At 42.0% G+C, this 16,259-nt stretch overlaps 1 protein-coding gene across 8 annotated transcripts in view, besides 5 other annotated features; it reads right to left on the reverse strand.

The window, feature by feature from the left end:
- Positions 1-16,259, reverse strand: part of CCDC149 (coiled-coil domain containing 149) — a 176,691-nt gene that overhangs the window by 58,694 nt on the left and 101,738 nt on the right. For all 8 annotated transcript variants that reach the window (XM_011513908.3, NM_001130726.5, NM_001395273.1 and 5 more), the window contains 2 exons: positions 14,329-14,490; positions 11,474-11,512 (listed from right to left, as the gene is read on the reverse strand). In XM_011513908.3, the coding sequence (XP_011512210.1) occupies positions 11,474-11,512; positions 14,329-14,388 (99 nt within the window). In that variant the 5' untranslated portion in view covers positions 14,389-14,490. The remainder of the gene's footprint in view (positions 1-11,473; positions 11,513-14,328; positions 14,491-16,259) is intronic.
- Positions 994-2,193: an enhancer, noted in NCBI's record as "MED14-independent group 3 enhancer chr4:24864823-24866022 (GRCh37/hg19 assembly coordinates)". NCBI's record gives its function as "activates an origin of replication core promoter dependent on BRD2, BRD4, P300/CBP and CDK7 cofactors, and independent of MED14, by STARR-seq in HCT116 cells {active_cell/tissue: HCT116}" and the evidence as "EXISTENCE:reporter gene assay evidence [ECO:0000049][PMID:35650434]".
- Positions 6,328-7,527: an enhancer, noted in NCBI's record as "MED14-independent group 3 enhancer chr4:24870157-24871356 (GRCh37/hg19 assembly coordinates)". NCBI's record gives its function as "activates an origin of replication core promoter dependent on BRD2, BRD4, P300/CBP and CDK7 cofactors, and independent of MED14, by STARR-seq in HCT116 cells {active_cell/tissue: HCT116}" and the evidence as "EXISTENCE:reporter gene assay evidence [ECO:0000049][PMID:35650434]".
- Positions 6,328-7,574: a biological region, named in NCBI's record as "MED14-independent group 3 enhancer GRCh37_chr4:24870157-24871356".
- Positions 6,438-7,006: an enhancer, noted in NCBI's record as "H3K27ac-H3K4me1 hESC enhancer chr4:24870267-24870835 (GRCh37/hg19 assembly coordinates)". NCBI's record gives its function as "activates a minimal SCP1, AML or CMV promoter by ChIP-STARR-seq in naive and primed H9 embryonic stem cells {active_cell/tissue: H9 hESC(naive and primed)}" and the evidence as "EXISTENCE:reporter gene assay evidence [ECO:0000049][PMID:30033119]".
- Positions 6,439-7,574: an enhancer, noted in NCBI's record as "H3K27ac-H3K4me1 hESC enhancer chr4:24870836-24871403 (GRCh37/hg19 assembly coordinates)". NCBI's record gives its function as "activates a minimal SCP1, AML or CMV promoter by ChIP-STARR-seq in primed H9 embryonic stem cells {active_cell/tissue: H9 hESC(primed)}" and the evidence as "EXISTENCE:reporter gene assay evidence [ECO:0000049][PMID:30033119]".

Genomic DNA, 16,259 nt, shown 5'->3' on the forward strand with positions numbered 1-16,259 from the left:
GGCTAGGCACCCTAAGACCTGACGAGAAATTGAAGTCACATGGCAGCTGAGATAGTAAGTGTGCACACTCCGTGGAGGGCCATAAAAACAGCAAAGCAACTGACCATGGAGAAGCATCTGTAGAACTTCTGTCTGTGGTAACTTTGAGGCCGCCTCTGGATACCAGCCGTGGCGGCCAGAAGTTCTGCCCAAAAAGAGCAGTTAATCCCCTGCTGGTCAGCATTTTTAGAAAATTCTGGCCCTCTCTAGTTTGTCTGTGGGTGTGTGGGTCTCCCTGGCTACTCGCTGTGGTTTGTCCCCTTCTCTCTCATCACTGCCTATGCGCTGAATATACTTACATGATTGCTGGTGTGTGAAAGCCTCACAATAAATCGTGAATTTGAAAACATTTAATTGGTCACTGATTCATTGTGAAACCTCTTGGGCCCTGTTGGAGTTAACATAACTAGGCTGATTCAAACCTGACACAATATTCTTCATAAACAAATCTTACCAAAATAACCCTTATCTTTCATTAATTTCTCCCATATATTTCCTGGTTGCTTTCCCACAATTCGTCATCACTCAAAGCCCAAATCCCCTTTCCTTTGTTAAAATGGCATATAAGCCCCTGAGTCTAACTGCTTCCTGAGTTTTATTTTTTTCTGTGAATTCCCATTGCATGTAAAATGTTAATAAAATTGTATGCTTTTGTCTTTTGTCATTTAAGTTTGCAGGCCCGTCACTGAACCTAACAGGAGAAAGGAAAACCTTTATTTCTCCCACAGACAAAACAAAAAACAAAGTGATAAAAGTTTAAGAGAGGCTGGGGGCAATGGCTCAGGCCTGTAATCCCAGCACTTTGGGGGGCTGAGGCGGGAGGATCACCTGAGGTCAGGAGTTTGAGACCAGCCTGACCAACATGGCAAAACCCCATCTCTATTAAAAATATAAAAATTAGCCGGGCGTGGCGGTATGCACCCGTAGTCCCAGCTACTCAGGAGGCTGAGGCAGAAGAATTGCTTGAACCCAGAGGTGGAGGCTGCAGTGAGCCGAGATCACACCACTGCACTCCAGCCTGGGCGACAGAGCAAGACGTCACCTCAAAAACACAAAACAAAACAAAAACAAAAAAGTTTAAGAAAAACCTTTTAACCGTGTGCTATTCCAGACACTGGAAATAGGAATCAAAGAGGTAGGCCACATGTTTTCACCTGTGTCCTTAAATATTTCAGACCAGTAGCCAGTAGAGGAAAAGGCCAATATTTCAGGAACAATCCTGCAAGTTGAAACTGCCTTTGCAAAATTATGACAGTAAGAGAAATCTGACATGGCTTCTAACCTCACAGGCTGGCTGTCTTCACTCATTCCCCAGTGCAGAAAGTAGAAAAGTTCCTCTTCAAAGCTCATCTTGGTTTAAAAATAAAATAGTAGACACTAGGAATAATAGCTCCTTACTCTAAAGCCTCCTATCAACTATTAGTTCTTACACTTTAGCCCAGGCATGTCTGGACAGGCCCAGCCTAGTCTTTGCTCATAGGTTATGCCCCTTCCTTATTTGGAAATGTTATTGCTTCCTTAAACCTTTCATAAGCAACTTCCTTTCCTTCTTTGTTCTTCCCTGCACTTACCTATTTAGGAAAGTTTTAGGCTATTAGCAAATCAGGTATCAGTTTAAGATTGTGAGGTTCAGCTCCAGCCAATGGATGCAGGACACAGCGGTAAGGATGACCCAAATGCATAAGGGACAAATATATCTGCTTTTCATTTGTTCAGGTGTGCTCTCGCCATTGTTCCATCTGCGAGGGGCACCCTTTCTGCAGAAAGTAAAGAGTGCCTTGCTGAGAGATCTTTTGTCTCGGTGCTGACTTTTCTTCATGGGACCGATTATCTATTTCTAACTATTTTGGTATTTCTAACACCCGGCGTGGGCCGGGCTAACTTTGGGAGAAATTTAGTTTATTGTTTAAATAATAGCCCTTCTCAAAAATTAAACTGCTCTTGTAAAACTAATGAAAATCCACCAAGTTAGAAGGAAGAGAGGGGCCTGAATTCTACTGAAAGGTTAGGTATCATTAAATAATCACCAGCCATTATTCCAGAGATCACAAGATTTGCAGTTTCCCTAATTATTCCTGCTAATAATGCCACTATTGTAGAAACTAAGATTGGCCTTTTGAGATGTCTTTCTAGGTTTTCACATTTCTGACAACTGGATAACCTCACTGGGACTAACCAACTGGTCCTGTGACCCTCACCCAGGAACCAACTCAGCCCAAGAAGACGGCTTCGACTCCCTGTGATTTCATCTCAGATCCAACAGCACTCCCCACTCCCTGGCCCCCTACCTGCCAAATTATCCTTGAAAACCCCTAGTCTTCAAATTTTCAAGGAGACTGATTTGAGTGATAAAAAAACTCCGGTCTCCCGTTCAGCTGGCCCTGCGTGAATTAAACTCTTTCTCTATTGCAATTTCCTTGTCTTGATAAATTGGCTCTATCTAGGCAGTGAGCAAAATGAACCTACTGGACAGTTACAAAGTCATCCCAAATCTTCAGAATTTACTAAATACAGTTGATCCTTGAACAACACAGGCTTGAACCACACAGATCCACTTATGTGTGCATTTTTTTCAACCAAATACAGATCAAAAATACAGTATTCACAGAATGTAAAACCCATGGATATGGAGGCCCAACTTCTTGTATTCACAGGTTCTGCAGGGCTGACTGGGGAACTTGAGTATGTGAGAATTTTGGTGTACACGGGGTTCCTGGAACCAATCCCCTCTGTATACTGAGGAATGACTGTATATGTAACCTCGCCATGGAAAAGTTATTCTACACCATAATATAAAAATGATGTATTCCAGAAAGTCTGGTAACATACCTCTCAATCTGAAGACATATAAATCAGAACTGGAACTCAAAAATTAGAAGAAAACAAGAGAGAGACAGACACGCAGACAGACATGCAAGCCCTTGACCTAGGCACTTTCTCAAGAAAAGTAAGGAAAAAGAGAATGAGAAAAAGAGACCAGATTTTTACATGGTATTAAAAAGTTTGATACTCTGAGACCCTTAAATCCATACCTTCAATATAGGAAAGTACTAGATTAAGCAAGAATACATTTAAAAAATGTTTGATGAAACATCAGGGGTTCTTGAGAGGTGTGATTGACAGCAAATTTAATTGCAATTTCTACTCTGCTGCTTTGGTCTGATGGTGACTCCTGTGTTAACAGTAATAGAGTGAAACTTGCTTTGCTTAGCAAGGGCCCCCTATTCACAGCAACTGCCAAAGTGATGACCTTTGCTATAGCGACAGCTTTCTTAGTTACAAAAAGAACAACCACCCGAGAGCTTATTCGTACATATTTTTTGGCTGTGCAAGGAGACCTTAGCAGCCTACTGCCACCTCGTAATCTCAAAATACACACTTGTGAATGAATGCATTTCCAGGCCCCACAGGCAAATGCTTTTGAATAGGCTTGGGAGGTTGCTATTTAAATAAATGTTTGCTTCATCTTGGCCATTATGATTCTGCATCTGCCACTTAGTGACTCCATTAATAGCTCCCAAGTTCTTTAGACTCATTGAGCCTAAATTTCCTCATCTATAAATCGGGGGGTGCTTCCACCTTCCTTACAAAATGGTTTCAAGGATTGAAAGGGCTTATGGGAAGGTGCATTAGTCCTCACAATAAAGTTGCTGTTGTTATGATTTGGGAGTGCTCCTAGGGACAGGACCTGGGATTTCTTCCTAGTTTCCCTGGTGTAATGAAAAAATCATACCATTCAAAGTGATATAAAAAGAAACATCTCAAAGCACTTGAGATCTTTGAAGGAAGTTTTAGGTTCTGAGCAACAAACCAGGACATATATACAAAGTCACTGTGATTTGCAGTCACAGGAGACTAAAATAAGCTTGACCAAGGAGACTTTTTATGGAAATGAAAGGTTCCTTCCCATCCCACAAAGGGCCACTCTATGCTCTGATTTTTCCAGGGTTGTCATCTTGGTGCGTGTCACTGTCTAAATAAGCCATCACTTTTTAGAAGCAAGAAGGCAACAGCTCCCTCCTGGACCATGAGAGATACCTTTCGTGGTACGTCTGCTTGAAATCAAAATAGGAAAAGACAAAGATCTTAAAGATGTGTTTGACTGTTTATTCAAGGAGTTTTCACCGGGAAAATGTACCTCTGTGACCTCAAAGAATCCCATCTTATAAGAAAATTAACCCGAGATAATTTAATTGCCCCTTTGTCTGCTTTGCAGGAACTGCTTGTTTAGCAAAAGAAAAATATTTAAAGGGTCATTGGAGATCTTTTGGTGATCTCTCACTGCAGTGCAAAGGGGCGCTCTGTGTACACTTCTGCCTGAAGTCACAAGAAGAAATTTTCATTTCAATATCCCACGAGAAGCTATTAGTGCAATCACTGTTGTCTCAATTTCTTCACAGCTTCTTTAACGGATGATTTGCCATCGGAAATTCGTTGTTTTAAAAAGGATTCTGAGTTCCAAAAGAAAGCCTCAACAACTACATTTCTAGAACTACAAATGTAAAAGTTCTCATCTGTCCTTTAACGCGAAGACCCAAAAAGCAAAAAAAAAAAAAAAATATACACACACACACACCCACACACACACACACACACACGTGCATATATATTGATTGCTACAGGAAAGAAGACTGGCTTAGCAGGTAAAAATTCCTAGCTCAATTTCTGGTTCTCTACCACTCCTAAGCAGAGAGCTTTGAACAAGACACTTAATCTTTAGACTTCCAAAATGGGCTGGACTGAATGTTGACTACGGTTTTTCCCAGCTCAAACAGTCTAAGAATCGAATATAGAACAAAAAGCCTGAACTACAGCACCGAACTACAAGCTAGAGGGGTCTGGAATCTAAGCCTCCTCCATTAACCTGCTATGTGTCCTTGGATAAGTCACAGGAAAAATTAAAAATATCCAGTATTCATTGAGCACTCTCCAACTAACAGACAATGAGCATCACAAACACCGCCACATCAGTGCCTCATAAGAGCTTTACAAACACATCTCAATATCATGTCCACTATGAACAGGAGGAAATTGAGTCTTGAAAGGTGACACAGTTTGCCCAGTCAGCAAGTGGAAAGGTTAAACTTGAATCCATGCAATTAAATGCCAGAATCTAAGTTCTTTTTATTTATTGCTAACTGTGATGCTGCCCTGTGCCTTTATGAAAGACATACCTCCCAGTGTGACCTCAGAAGAATGCTGGGAGATTACATGCAGGCATGCATATATGCATGGTCTCTGAAAAATACAAAGTGTTTCAAAGACTAAGAATGTGGTATTGTTTTCTATCTATACTTGAGAAGAACCATCAATACATTTAGAGCAGCGGCTCTTAAATGTGGTCCATGGAACACCAAGGATCTATAGAATGGCTGTAGGTCTGTGACTCCATGAAATTGAATGCAAATTTTTTTGCAGGCATGTTCTACAGCAAAGGCCCATGGCTTTCAACAGATCCTCAAAGGTATCACTGATTCACAAGAGAATAAGAACCACTGGTCCAGAGAAACGGAACTGAATCAAGGAGAAAATCCAACAAGGGGCGATCATTGCAATCTTTCCTTCTGAAACAAACAGGAGAAGAGCCCAGTAAGCTCAGATCACAGAAATTCAACCTTCTGGGTCAAGAAACGAAAGTCACAGCTTCAAGGCCAGTGGGCAATAATACGCACATTGTGGTGTCTTCTCCTTTTCCTATACATACATCTCGTGACCTCTGGTCACATCTGTTAACTCCACCTGTTAACTCGGCAGCTGGTTCTTGTTCCAGTGCCTTCCGCTTATACAAGGTATCTTTGCTTTGCAGCTGGAGAGGTAAATACTTCCCCTGCTGTTCTGCCTTTGGTATAAATATTTAGCATAACACAGGAGACCCCATCTCAGGGTGTGTGCCTCGATCCCCTTCCTGCTGGTGACGCAGTTTAGAAAGTAATTGTGCCTCTCCCTTTCCATACTTGCCCATGTAAACCAAAGCTTTCTGCTTCTGGCTAAACGGAAAGTTTCAAGACAACCAGCCCCTAAAAAATTTAATGCTGCATTTTCCTCCCCATGCTGAACTATGAAGAGGACACCTTACCACCTACCCTAAAACCAATCACATGCTTAAATAAACTAACAGTAAATAAAAATGTAAAATATGTTTAAGGGACAAGAGTCTTCTTTTTTCCAACTCCTAGAGCTATTTCCCCACTTGTTTACCCATTAATAAGTCAGAATTCCCTCCCTAATTTTGGACTATATGTTTCTCTCCTTAGCACTGATTACCATTTAACAACCTATATATTTTAATTACTTTGTATGTTGTCTGTTCGTAGCATCTCTAGTACAATAACTATATTATTGGTCCAAACCCAGACACCTTGGGGAGTGAAAGGGGGCACTAATAGAAATGATCCCAAGACAAGAGGTGTCAATGGAAATGGTCCTGGGTAAGATGAAGGGACGGTCACTTTTGCTACAATGCAAGTTCCAAGCTCAGGGATCTGGGTCTGCCTTTTTTCACCCCGTGCCCCTCCTGTCCAGATACTTACGGACACACCCATGGGTGCTCCCTGAGTCATGGTAGTTACCAGCGTGAGCTCTGAGTGGACTGCAGAGGGTCAAAGCTCTGGCTCCATCACCAGTTCGTTATGTTACTTCCTTGGGTAGTTTCCTTGAGCTCTATATGCTTTAATTTTCTCCTTTATCAGATGGCAATAACAAGAATAGTATCTACCGCACACGGCTATGTGAGAGTTAAATGAGGTCATCTACAGCAAAATGTCCAGCACAGCAGCCGGCACTTGGTAAGAGTGAGCACTCAATGACACCGGCTGCGATTGCTATGATCTGTCCTCCTGCGACTGTTTTAAGAAGGCATGTAAGGCAGATGGCTATGACACTGTCTACCCCGCACCCCTCTACATGGTGGTGGGAGGAGCTGCCTTTCATCAGTGGCATGCCTGATCATGCCCATCTGACCCTGAAACAGGCCATTGGCCTGAGCCTGGAACTTGGGAGCAGCCTTCTTCCAGCGGCCAAAGGTGTAGGGGCTCCATCCCAGCTGCAGTTGGCAGTCACGCTTCCGCTTCTGAGGAGGAAGCAGGCGCAGAAAAGGAGATGAGAGCTGAGGAGAGGCCTGGGCTCCTGGGCCCTGCTGTGGCTATTCCTGGGGCCCAGCTGCACTTCTGTCTCCCACGAGGGCTGCTCAACCAACTCTTCCCATAATCTATGAGCTGGAACCTGTCTTTGGAGCAAGCTACTTTGAGTGGCAACTGCAACCAAAAGGGTCCCAACAAGGGCAGTGTGTCCTGTTGACAGCCAAGAGCTGTGCTGGACAGAATCAACCTGCTAACATACAATTGTTTAAAAAAGAGATGACAAGGAGGAGCAGCAGGCGAGAAACATTGATGGATGCTCACCTTGTGCCAGGCACTGCACATTGATGGATGCTCACCTTACGCCAGGCACCATACTGAGGCCTCTACTTGCATTGTCTCATTTGATCCTGACAGCTACACTATGCAGTGGGTACATATTTATCCCCATTTTATGGATGAGAACATTGAGACTCAAGACACTCAAAGGAGCCTTCCCAAAGCCTCACAATTAGTTTAGTGGACATCACTGCTAACTCCTAACAGCTCTTCCATCCCAAGTGATGAATCAAAGTCGATGAGTGTATAGCAGCCCCCTGGTGCGTGCTATTAGACCAGGAATGGGAGCAAGTCCTACACTGGCCCAGCCAGACTGGAAAGGAGGACTTATTTTCCATGGCTGCATTTTCTGCTTCTCTTGAGGGGAACCAGACACAGAAGGAAGCTGATACTAAATGTAAGAGGAAGCTGATGTGCTTAAGTCGGCAAAGTGGTAGAGTTGTCAGGTAAACTACAGAATGTCCAGTTACATTTGAATTTTAGATTAATAATGAATAATAATTTAATATAAGCCTATCCCCAAAATCACATGGCACACACTTTTGTACTTAAAAAACAATACAATTTTCTACATTCCTATCTGAAATTCAAATGTACCGGGTGCCCTGTATTTTTACTTGCTAAATTTGGCACAGTGGAGAGAATGAGTACATGACAACTTCATGAAGCCATAAACCATCAAGTACTTAAAGCCCACATTACCTCTGAACTTCTCGCTATGTAAGGTAATTAATTCGTTTATTGTTCAAGCAGTTTAGAATTTGTCACTTGCACCCTGAAGCATCCTATCTCGTGCAGCAATCACTGGTTCCAACCCAGGCAGGGAGGCTGCAGAGCCCAAGCTTCCACCACTACACTCAGTCCTAAAGGGACAGAAACTTAATGCCGTATGAAAAGCTACAAAGCCAATGTTTAGGACGTTGAACTTATATTTTTAGAGCTGTAAGAATGCAGCTTAACAGACTTACTGGGATTGATCAGATTCTCTTCAGTTGATATAAATTTTTTATTATAAAGTTGTGGAATGTGAATTCCCCTAAAACTATAAAACTCCTTCATGAATACTAACTAACTCTAAAATAGCAGCAAAGGTGCTGCTTATAACCTCCAAAACCTCAAAACCCAAAACACCTGGCAATTCAAGATTAAGAACTCCAATTTTTAAACATTAAAGATAAATTTCCCCATCCTGGCTAACACGGTGAAACCCCATCTCTACTAAAAATACAAAAAATTAGCCGGGCATGGTGGCGGGTGCCTGTAGTCCCAGCAACTCGGGGGGCTAAGGCAGGAGAATGTCATGAACCCAGGAGGCACAGCTTGCAGTGAGCTGAGATAGCGCCACCGCACTCCAGCCTGAGGGACAGAGTGAGACTCCCTCAAAAAAAAAAAAAAAAAAGATAAATTTCTACATTTTGTTTAGAAAAAAAGTCAATGAGCATCACAGAAAAATGTGACTTTAGATCAAACCTGGAGCATTATAAAATAATCCTGTAAGAAAGGAAGGGAGCGTATAAGTAAGCGTGCTGAATGAATGAATGAATGAATGGGTAACCATAGGACTGAGTTGGTCTCTGAGGATAAATGTGTGTGTGTTGGGCAAACTGTTCACCAGCATAAAAAAGTCTCAAGGCAATGACCCCATGGAATCAAGGAATTTACATGTGGTGCTGGTACAGCATCAATGAGCACAAGCAGGATGCTGGGTTAGCCACGACAGCTGGGAAGAGAGCAAATCATTCCTGGGTTGCTATCTGCATCCACCCATTTCAAAGTCCTGCTCAGGCACAGAGGCTTCCCTATAACGGGAAACACACAGCATTAACATCACCATCATCTGGACTCCCTTCAAGTCCATAAAAAGCCGTCATTTAGGGCATGTCAGTACAGAACAACTATAAAGTTAAGGAAAGTTCTAACAAAGTTATATATGAAAATAGCTTGCTCTCTCATTCTCTCTCTCTCTCTCTCATAAATACATGTATAAGAGAGAGTGACTCAGTGGTTCCAACCCAGGCAGAAAGGCTGCAGAGCCCAAGCTCCCACCACCACACTCTCAATCCTAAAGGGACAGAAACTTAATGCCATTTTAAATGCTACAAAGCCAATGTTTATGTCATTGAACTTGTATTTTTAGAGCTGTAAGAATGCAGCTTAACAGACTTACTGGAATTCATCAGATTCTCCTTAGTCAATGTAAATTTTTTTTATTATAAAGCCACAGAACATATCTATCTATGAGAGAGAGAGACACCAAGTTAATCTATAAATTTAACAAAACCCCTATCAAAATACCAATAGGATTTGTGTGAGAAGGATCGGAGAAGAACTTGATGAAATGTTTCTAGGTTTTATCTGAGAAAAGTAACATATAAGAAACCTCTGAAAAGGAAGAGCAAAGTGAAGAAGGTTAGCCCAAAAAGATATTAGAAGTATTATAAAGCAAAACAATAAGAATAATGTGGTAGAGCCACAGGACTTTTCAGGGAGCTCAAAGGAACAGAACAGAGAGTTAAGAAGCAGATCCACATATATATAAGGATTTGATGATAAAAATGTGCATGTAAAACCATTGGTTTGGTCAATAAACAGTGTTGGCCACCGTGCAGGAGAAAAGAAAGTAAAGGCATGTGAATTTTAATGGAAGATGGCTTTTAAGAGTGTGAAGTGGCAGAACCTAAACAGAACAGTATGCACCCACAGAATGGCATGCAGCCACCAAATATTATGTACCTACCAAATGGTATACACCCACTAAACATTATGTACCCACGGAATGGCATTTACCCGCCAAATGGTATCTATCACCCCCTGAATATTATGCACCCACAGAATGGTATGCACCCACCAAATGGTATGCACCCACAGAAGAGCATGCACCCATAGAATGACATGCACCCACTGAATGGTATGCACCTGCAGAATGGTATGTACCCACTGAACAGTATGCACCCAGAAAACAGTATGACCCACTGAATGGTATGCACCCACAGAATGGTATGAACCCACTGAACAGTATGCACCCACTAAATGGTATGTACCCACAAAACAGCATGCACCCGCCAAATGGTAAGCACCCACAGAACAGCAGGCACCCACAGAATGGTATGCACCCACAGAATGGTATGCACCCACAGAACAGTATGCACTCACCAAATGGTATGCACCCATAGAAGACTATACAGCCACAGAATGATAGGCACCTACCAAGTGGTATGTGTCCATTGAATGGTATGCACCCACTGAACAGTATGTAACCACTGAACAGTATGCACCCATAGAACAGTATGACCCACTGAATGGTATGCACCCGCAGAATGGTATGCACCCACTGAACAGTATGCACCCACCAAGTGGTATGCACCCACCAAATGGTATGCACCCACCAAATGGTGTGCACCCACAGAACAGCAGGCACCCACAGAATGGTATGCACCCAACAAATGGTATGCACCCACTGAATGGTATGCATCCACAGAATGGTATGTACCCACAGAACAGTATGCACCCACAGAATGGTATGCACCCACAGAACAGTATGCACCCACCAAATGGTATGTACCCATAGGAGAGTATACAGCCACAGAATGATATGCACCTACCAAGTGGTATGTGTCCACTGAATGGTATGCACCCACTAAACAGTATATATCCACTGAACAGTATGCACCCACAGAACAGTATGCACCCAACAAATGTTATATGCCCACAGCACGTGCCCACTGAACAGTAGGTAGCTCAAGTCCTGTAACCATGTGCCCTCAACTCTATCTCCCATCAGGATTCCCAACATGAAAGGGAATGCAGTCAACTGGTGTACCTCCCCCAACCAGACTTCACTGGGTTTCCTTCACTCCACTCCGAATTTCTCTTTGCAGTTGGAATCTCTACCTACTCCTCCCAATAACAGAAAGAATTCCAGGAAATTAAAGGAAGTTCTCTACATTTTGAGATTCCCTGATCCTCCCAATTGCTGCTAGGTATCAATAAAAAAATCTGAGATCAGAAATAAGTCTTACCTGTTTCCTTTTTTCAGGAGGAAGTGATGGATCTCCATCCTACAAAGAAACAAATGCTGCATTTTACTCTTTTAGAAAAATAGATGTACTTAGAAACAAGAAGTTGAACTAAATTATGAACCTAAATGTAGACTCTCCCCACCCTCCCCACCCTGCAGCCAGTAATGTGCTGAAGCAAGCTCAAATATACTTTAAAAAAATAACTACAAACTGAACCAGAGTTATTTTGGAAAAACCTCTAGGGAATCAGTTCCCATTAGGACCAAATCTATATATTTCCTAAAATTGTTTGAACACAAAAACTGGATTTGTCAAAATTCTTTTTGATCACAGCCTAAACTGAAATAATATTTCATTTGGTTTGAGTTCCTCTTTTAAATAGTTAGAACCAAAGGAACAGTGATGGGGACACACATACACATATAGAGAGAGAGGAAAAGAGAGAGAAAGAGAGAGACAGAGAAAGAGAGAGTTTTCTCTGTGGGCAGAACAATCAGTGTTGGGAGGGACAGTATTTGCTCAAAGTTAAGAAGACATTGAGAACTTCTAGTCCTATTAGATTTGTTTTTTTTTTTTTTTGTTTTGTTTTTTTTTGTTTTTTTGCCTTAAAAGGATTCTGGCCAGGCGTGGTGGCTCAGGCCTGTAATCTCAGCACTTTGGGAGGCCAAGGTGGGCAGGTCACTTGAGGCCAGGAGTTCAAGACCAGCTGGGCCAACATGCTGAAACATGTCTTTACTAAAAAAATACAAAAATTAGCCAGATGTGGCGGCGGGTGCCTGTAATCCCAGCTACTAGGGAGGCTGAGGCAGGAGAATTGCTTGTACCCAGGAGGCAGAGGTTGCAGCGAGCAGAGATTGCACCACTGCACTCCAGCCTGGGCAACAGAGTGAGACTCTGTCTCACACACACACACAAAAAAAGGATCCGATTCCTCTCCCTTTTGTGCCACATCAGGGAATACAAATATCTCAGGTGAATAAGTGAATGCTCATTAAATGAGCACTCTAATATCTGATGCTGTCCACATATAAGTCAACACGATTTTAACCTGAGGAATCTATTCTATTCTATTTCTACTCCAGGGCAGTTTAATAATGCCAGCACAGATAGTTAAATGTCAGTAATAGTGTCCCACTTAAAAAAGAGATCGCCTCAAAAGCAGCAAGAATGAAAACTAGCATTATGCAGTTGGCATTCTCCATTTCAGTATCATTTGCATCTTAAACGTTTTGCCATATAAAAACCTAGAGAAAATAAAAAAGCGCAGGATACGAGAAAGGTTACAAAAATTATGGATATGTCCACACCGTGTATTACCATGCAACTGTTTAAAAGACTGAGTTAAAGGCTGGGCACGGTGGCTCATGCCTGTAATCCCAGCACCTTGGGAGGGCGAGGCGGGCAGATCACGAGGTCAGGAGATTGAGACCATCCTGGCTAACAAGGTGAAACCCCATCTCTACTAAGGTGAAACCCCGTCTCTACTAAAAATACAAAAAATTAGCCGAGCATGGTGGCAGGCGCCTGTAGTCCCAGCTACTCGGGAGGCTGAGGCAGGAGAAGGGCATGAACCTGGGAGGCGGAGCTTGCAGTGAGCCAAGATCCCGCCACTGCACTCCAGCCTGGGCCACAGAGCGAGAATCCGTCTCAAAAAAAAAAAAAAGACTGAGTTAAATCTGTATGCCTAGAAATCTGGATGATTCAAATCTGGATGAGTTAGATCTGTAGGCCTAGAAAGATGTCCAAAATAAAGTGCTGAGGGAAAACAGCATGTTTTATTATTTTTAAAAATAAATTTGGAATTTATTTTATTTCTCCATGAATTTTTTTTTTTTTTTGAGAAGGGTTCTCTCTATGTTGCTCAGCTTGGTCTCAAACTCCTGGGCTCAAGCAATCCTCTCATCTCAACCTCTCAAAGTAATTGGGATTACAGGTGTGTCACTGCATTTGGCTTAATGTAACTCTCTGCAAGGATGGCAATGCTGTCTGTATACACTGTCCAATACAGTAGCCATCAGTCACATGAGCCCATGAAATGTGACATTGAGACTGAGCAATAGAGTCTCCTATTTTACTTAATTCTAATTAATTTAAAACTAAGTAGCCACCTGTAGCTAGTGGCCTCTGTATTACTGTAGACTTATGAATCCTCTTTTTAAAGAACTCTATATAATTAAATTAACAAGTAAACAGTCACACATACAGTAGTCCCCACCTGTCCTCAGTTTCAGGTACCTGAGATCAACCATGGTCCAAACATGTTAAATAGAAAATTTCAACAATAAATAATTTATAAATTTTGAATTGCATGCTGTTCTGAGTCGTGTGATGAAATCTTGCACCATTCCCCTCCATCCCACCTGGGATGTGAATCACCCCTTCATCCAGGGTATCCACGATGCCTACGTGGTGCACTCGCTAGTCACTTAGGAGCTGGTTTGGCTATGAGATCAAAAAAACAACAGTATATGTAGGGTTTCCTACTATCTGTGGTTTCAGGCATCCACTGGGGATCTTGAAACTTGTCTCCCTTGGATAAGCCAGGAGCCTACTGCAAACACACATGAATATGTTCACAGATGCCAGAGCAAGAAGCATATACATACACACGTACACACACACACACACACACACACACACACACACACACACACACACACAGAGAGAGAGAGAGAGATTAACTTGTGAGTGGGACTGGGTTGTTGAGGAAATAGAGGTGGTGACTTTTACTTCTAAATTTTTCCACTTTGAACTGTTTGCATTTAACCATTTCTAAAGAAACAGCATGTGAAAATCTCTTTATATCTTAATTCAGGGAACAGGAAAGTCGCTGAACAGGGCAGCCTAACACTTACAATCAGCTCTCGGTACTTCTTCTTCAGTGACTGGTGGCGCTCCCGGAGCTGATTGGCCATGAGTTTGTACTGGTCCCTTTCCTGTTGACAGGTGTCCAGCTCCTTGGAGAGGATCAGCAGGGCTTCCTTCTTACTCTCCAGCTTCCTCTTACACACCAGGTACTGCAAAGCAAACAAATCCAGGCAATGGGTCAAAAACATCCATGGGCCTCCATTAAACACACACCGTACTTCACACACCCTGTGGGGAATTTTTGCCATTCTCATTTTTAGAGCTCATGTGCCGAGAGAGACATTTTTCAGCAAATGACATGTACTTCAGGCTTCTACAGCGCTAACATGCAGTGCCCTCATGACAGAACCTAAACCTTGGACAAGTAAGTTAAAAAGCAGAACGTTTTAAAAAGTTGCATAAATGGGTAAACAGGTAGACAGCTGGACTCCAATTTTGTTTAAAAAGGATTTATATATCCAGATAAGATTATGTAAAATTTTATTAAGATATTTAATAAAAATTTTATTAAAATGTTACTAACGATAAACTCTTGGTAGTAAAATTATTTACCCAGGTTTCAAAATTTTTCTTGATGCTTTTCTGTGTTTTCTAAGTTTCCAGAGTAAACCTATATGGTTTTTTGTCTGTTTGTTTGTTTGTTTGTTTGTTTTTTGAGACGGAGTCTTGCTCTGTCATCCAGGCTGGAGTGCAGTGATGTGATCTCGGCTTACTGCAACCTCCACCTCCCGGGTTCAAGTAATTCTTTCACCTTAGCTTCCCAAGTAGCTGGGAATACAGACGCGTACCACCATGCCCGGCTAATTTTTGTATTTTTAGTAGAGATGGTCAGGCTCTGTTGGCCAGGCTGGTCTTGAATTCCTGACCTCAGGTGATCTGCCCACCTTGGCCTTACAAAGTAGTGGGATTACAGGTGTGAGCCACCATGCCTGGCCCATGTAGTTTTTATTGTAAAAAAAAAATGCCCAAAAAGTTATTAAAAATAATTGAACCATAAATTACCACAATAGATTGCACCTGCCCACCAAACCCAGCAGCTATTTTCTCACTTGCAAATTCATCCACTAACATGGCCCTGATGCGTTTAACTTTTCCTATGATTCAAATGCAGGCACTCCCCATCCAGAGACCAATCTTAGGAGCTAAGTATTTTAGCCACATTTTGAATTCTCCCAAACAAGTTGAGTACACCTGGTTGGAATTCTTGCCTCAGAGTTATGAGATTTCTTCATCCTTCCCTCTGCTCACTCTCCTGCACCACGAACCACCCTCACCTAAGTCTGACCCACCATACTGGCCAGCATGGGCCCGAACAGGACTCTTCACTTTTTACTGGATATATTGCACCGTCTAGTATTATTCACATATGTGAAATGTGGCACTAAATACCTTTGGAATTTGCCCTGTAAAAGACCAAATTCAGAGCATTCATGAAAACAATTTATAGTTTCATTATACACTCTGACATGAGTACTTTGTCATTATGGACGCTCACACAAAGCAGAGCGAGAATCAGCACTCCCATTCCACTGGAGTCAATGCTCTTTTATGGACAAAAAGCATTACTCATATATAGTGCTTGCTAGGAACTGACTTTGTTAAGTTCAATTTCAAATAAATGAAAGGGAGAAAAAGAGAGTTTTGTGCATTTGCACAATTTTTTTTCCTAAAAAAAAAAAAAAAAAAAAAAGAAAGTAATTGCTTAGCTTCAAAAACAAAGGGGAAAGAAAAGGCATTCTGAGACGGATTTGAGTTCTAAAAAAGGACACTTCCACCTTGGATGAATTTTATTCCTGGCAGTAATGAGGTTGGAATCCTGCCTTAAAATGTCCTGGATTTTGAGACGTTGACATCGTCTTCATGGAGGCAAAATGGTTCTGTTGCCACAGTGATTTCTCAAGAGTAAAATCCCCAATGA

Source organism: Homo sapiens, chromosome 4 (genome assembly GCF_000001405.40).
Source record: "Homo sapiens chromosome 4, GRCh38.p14 Primary Assembly".
NCBI lineage: Eukaryota > Metazoa > Chordata > Mammalia > Primates > Hominidae > Homo > Homo sapiens.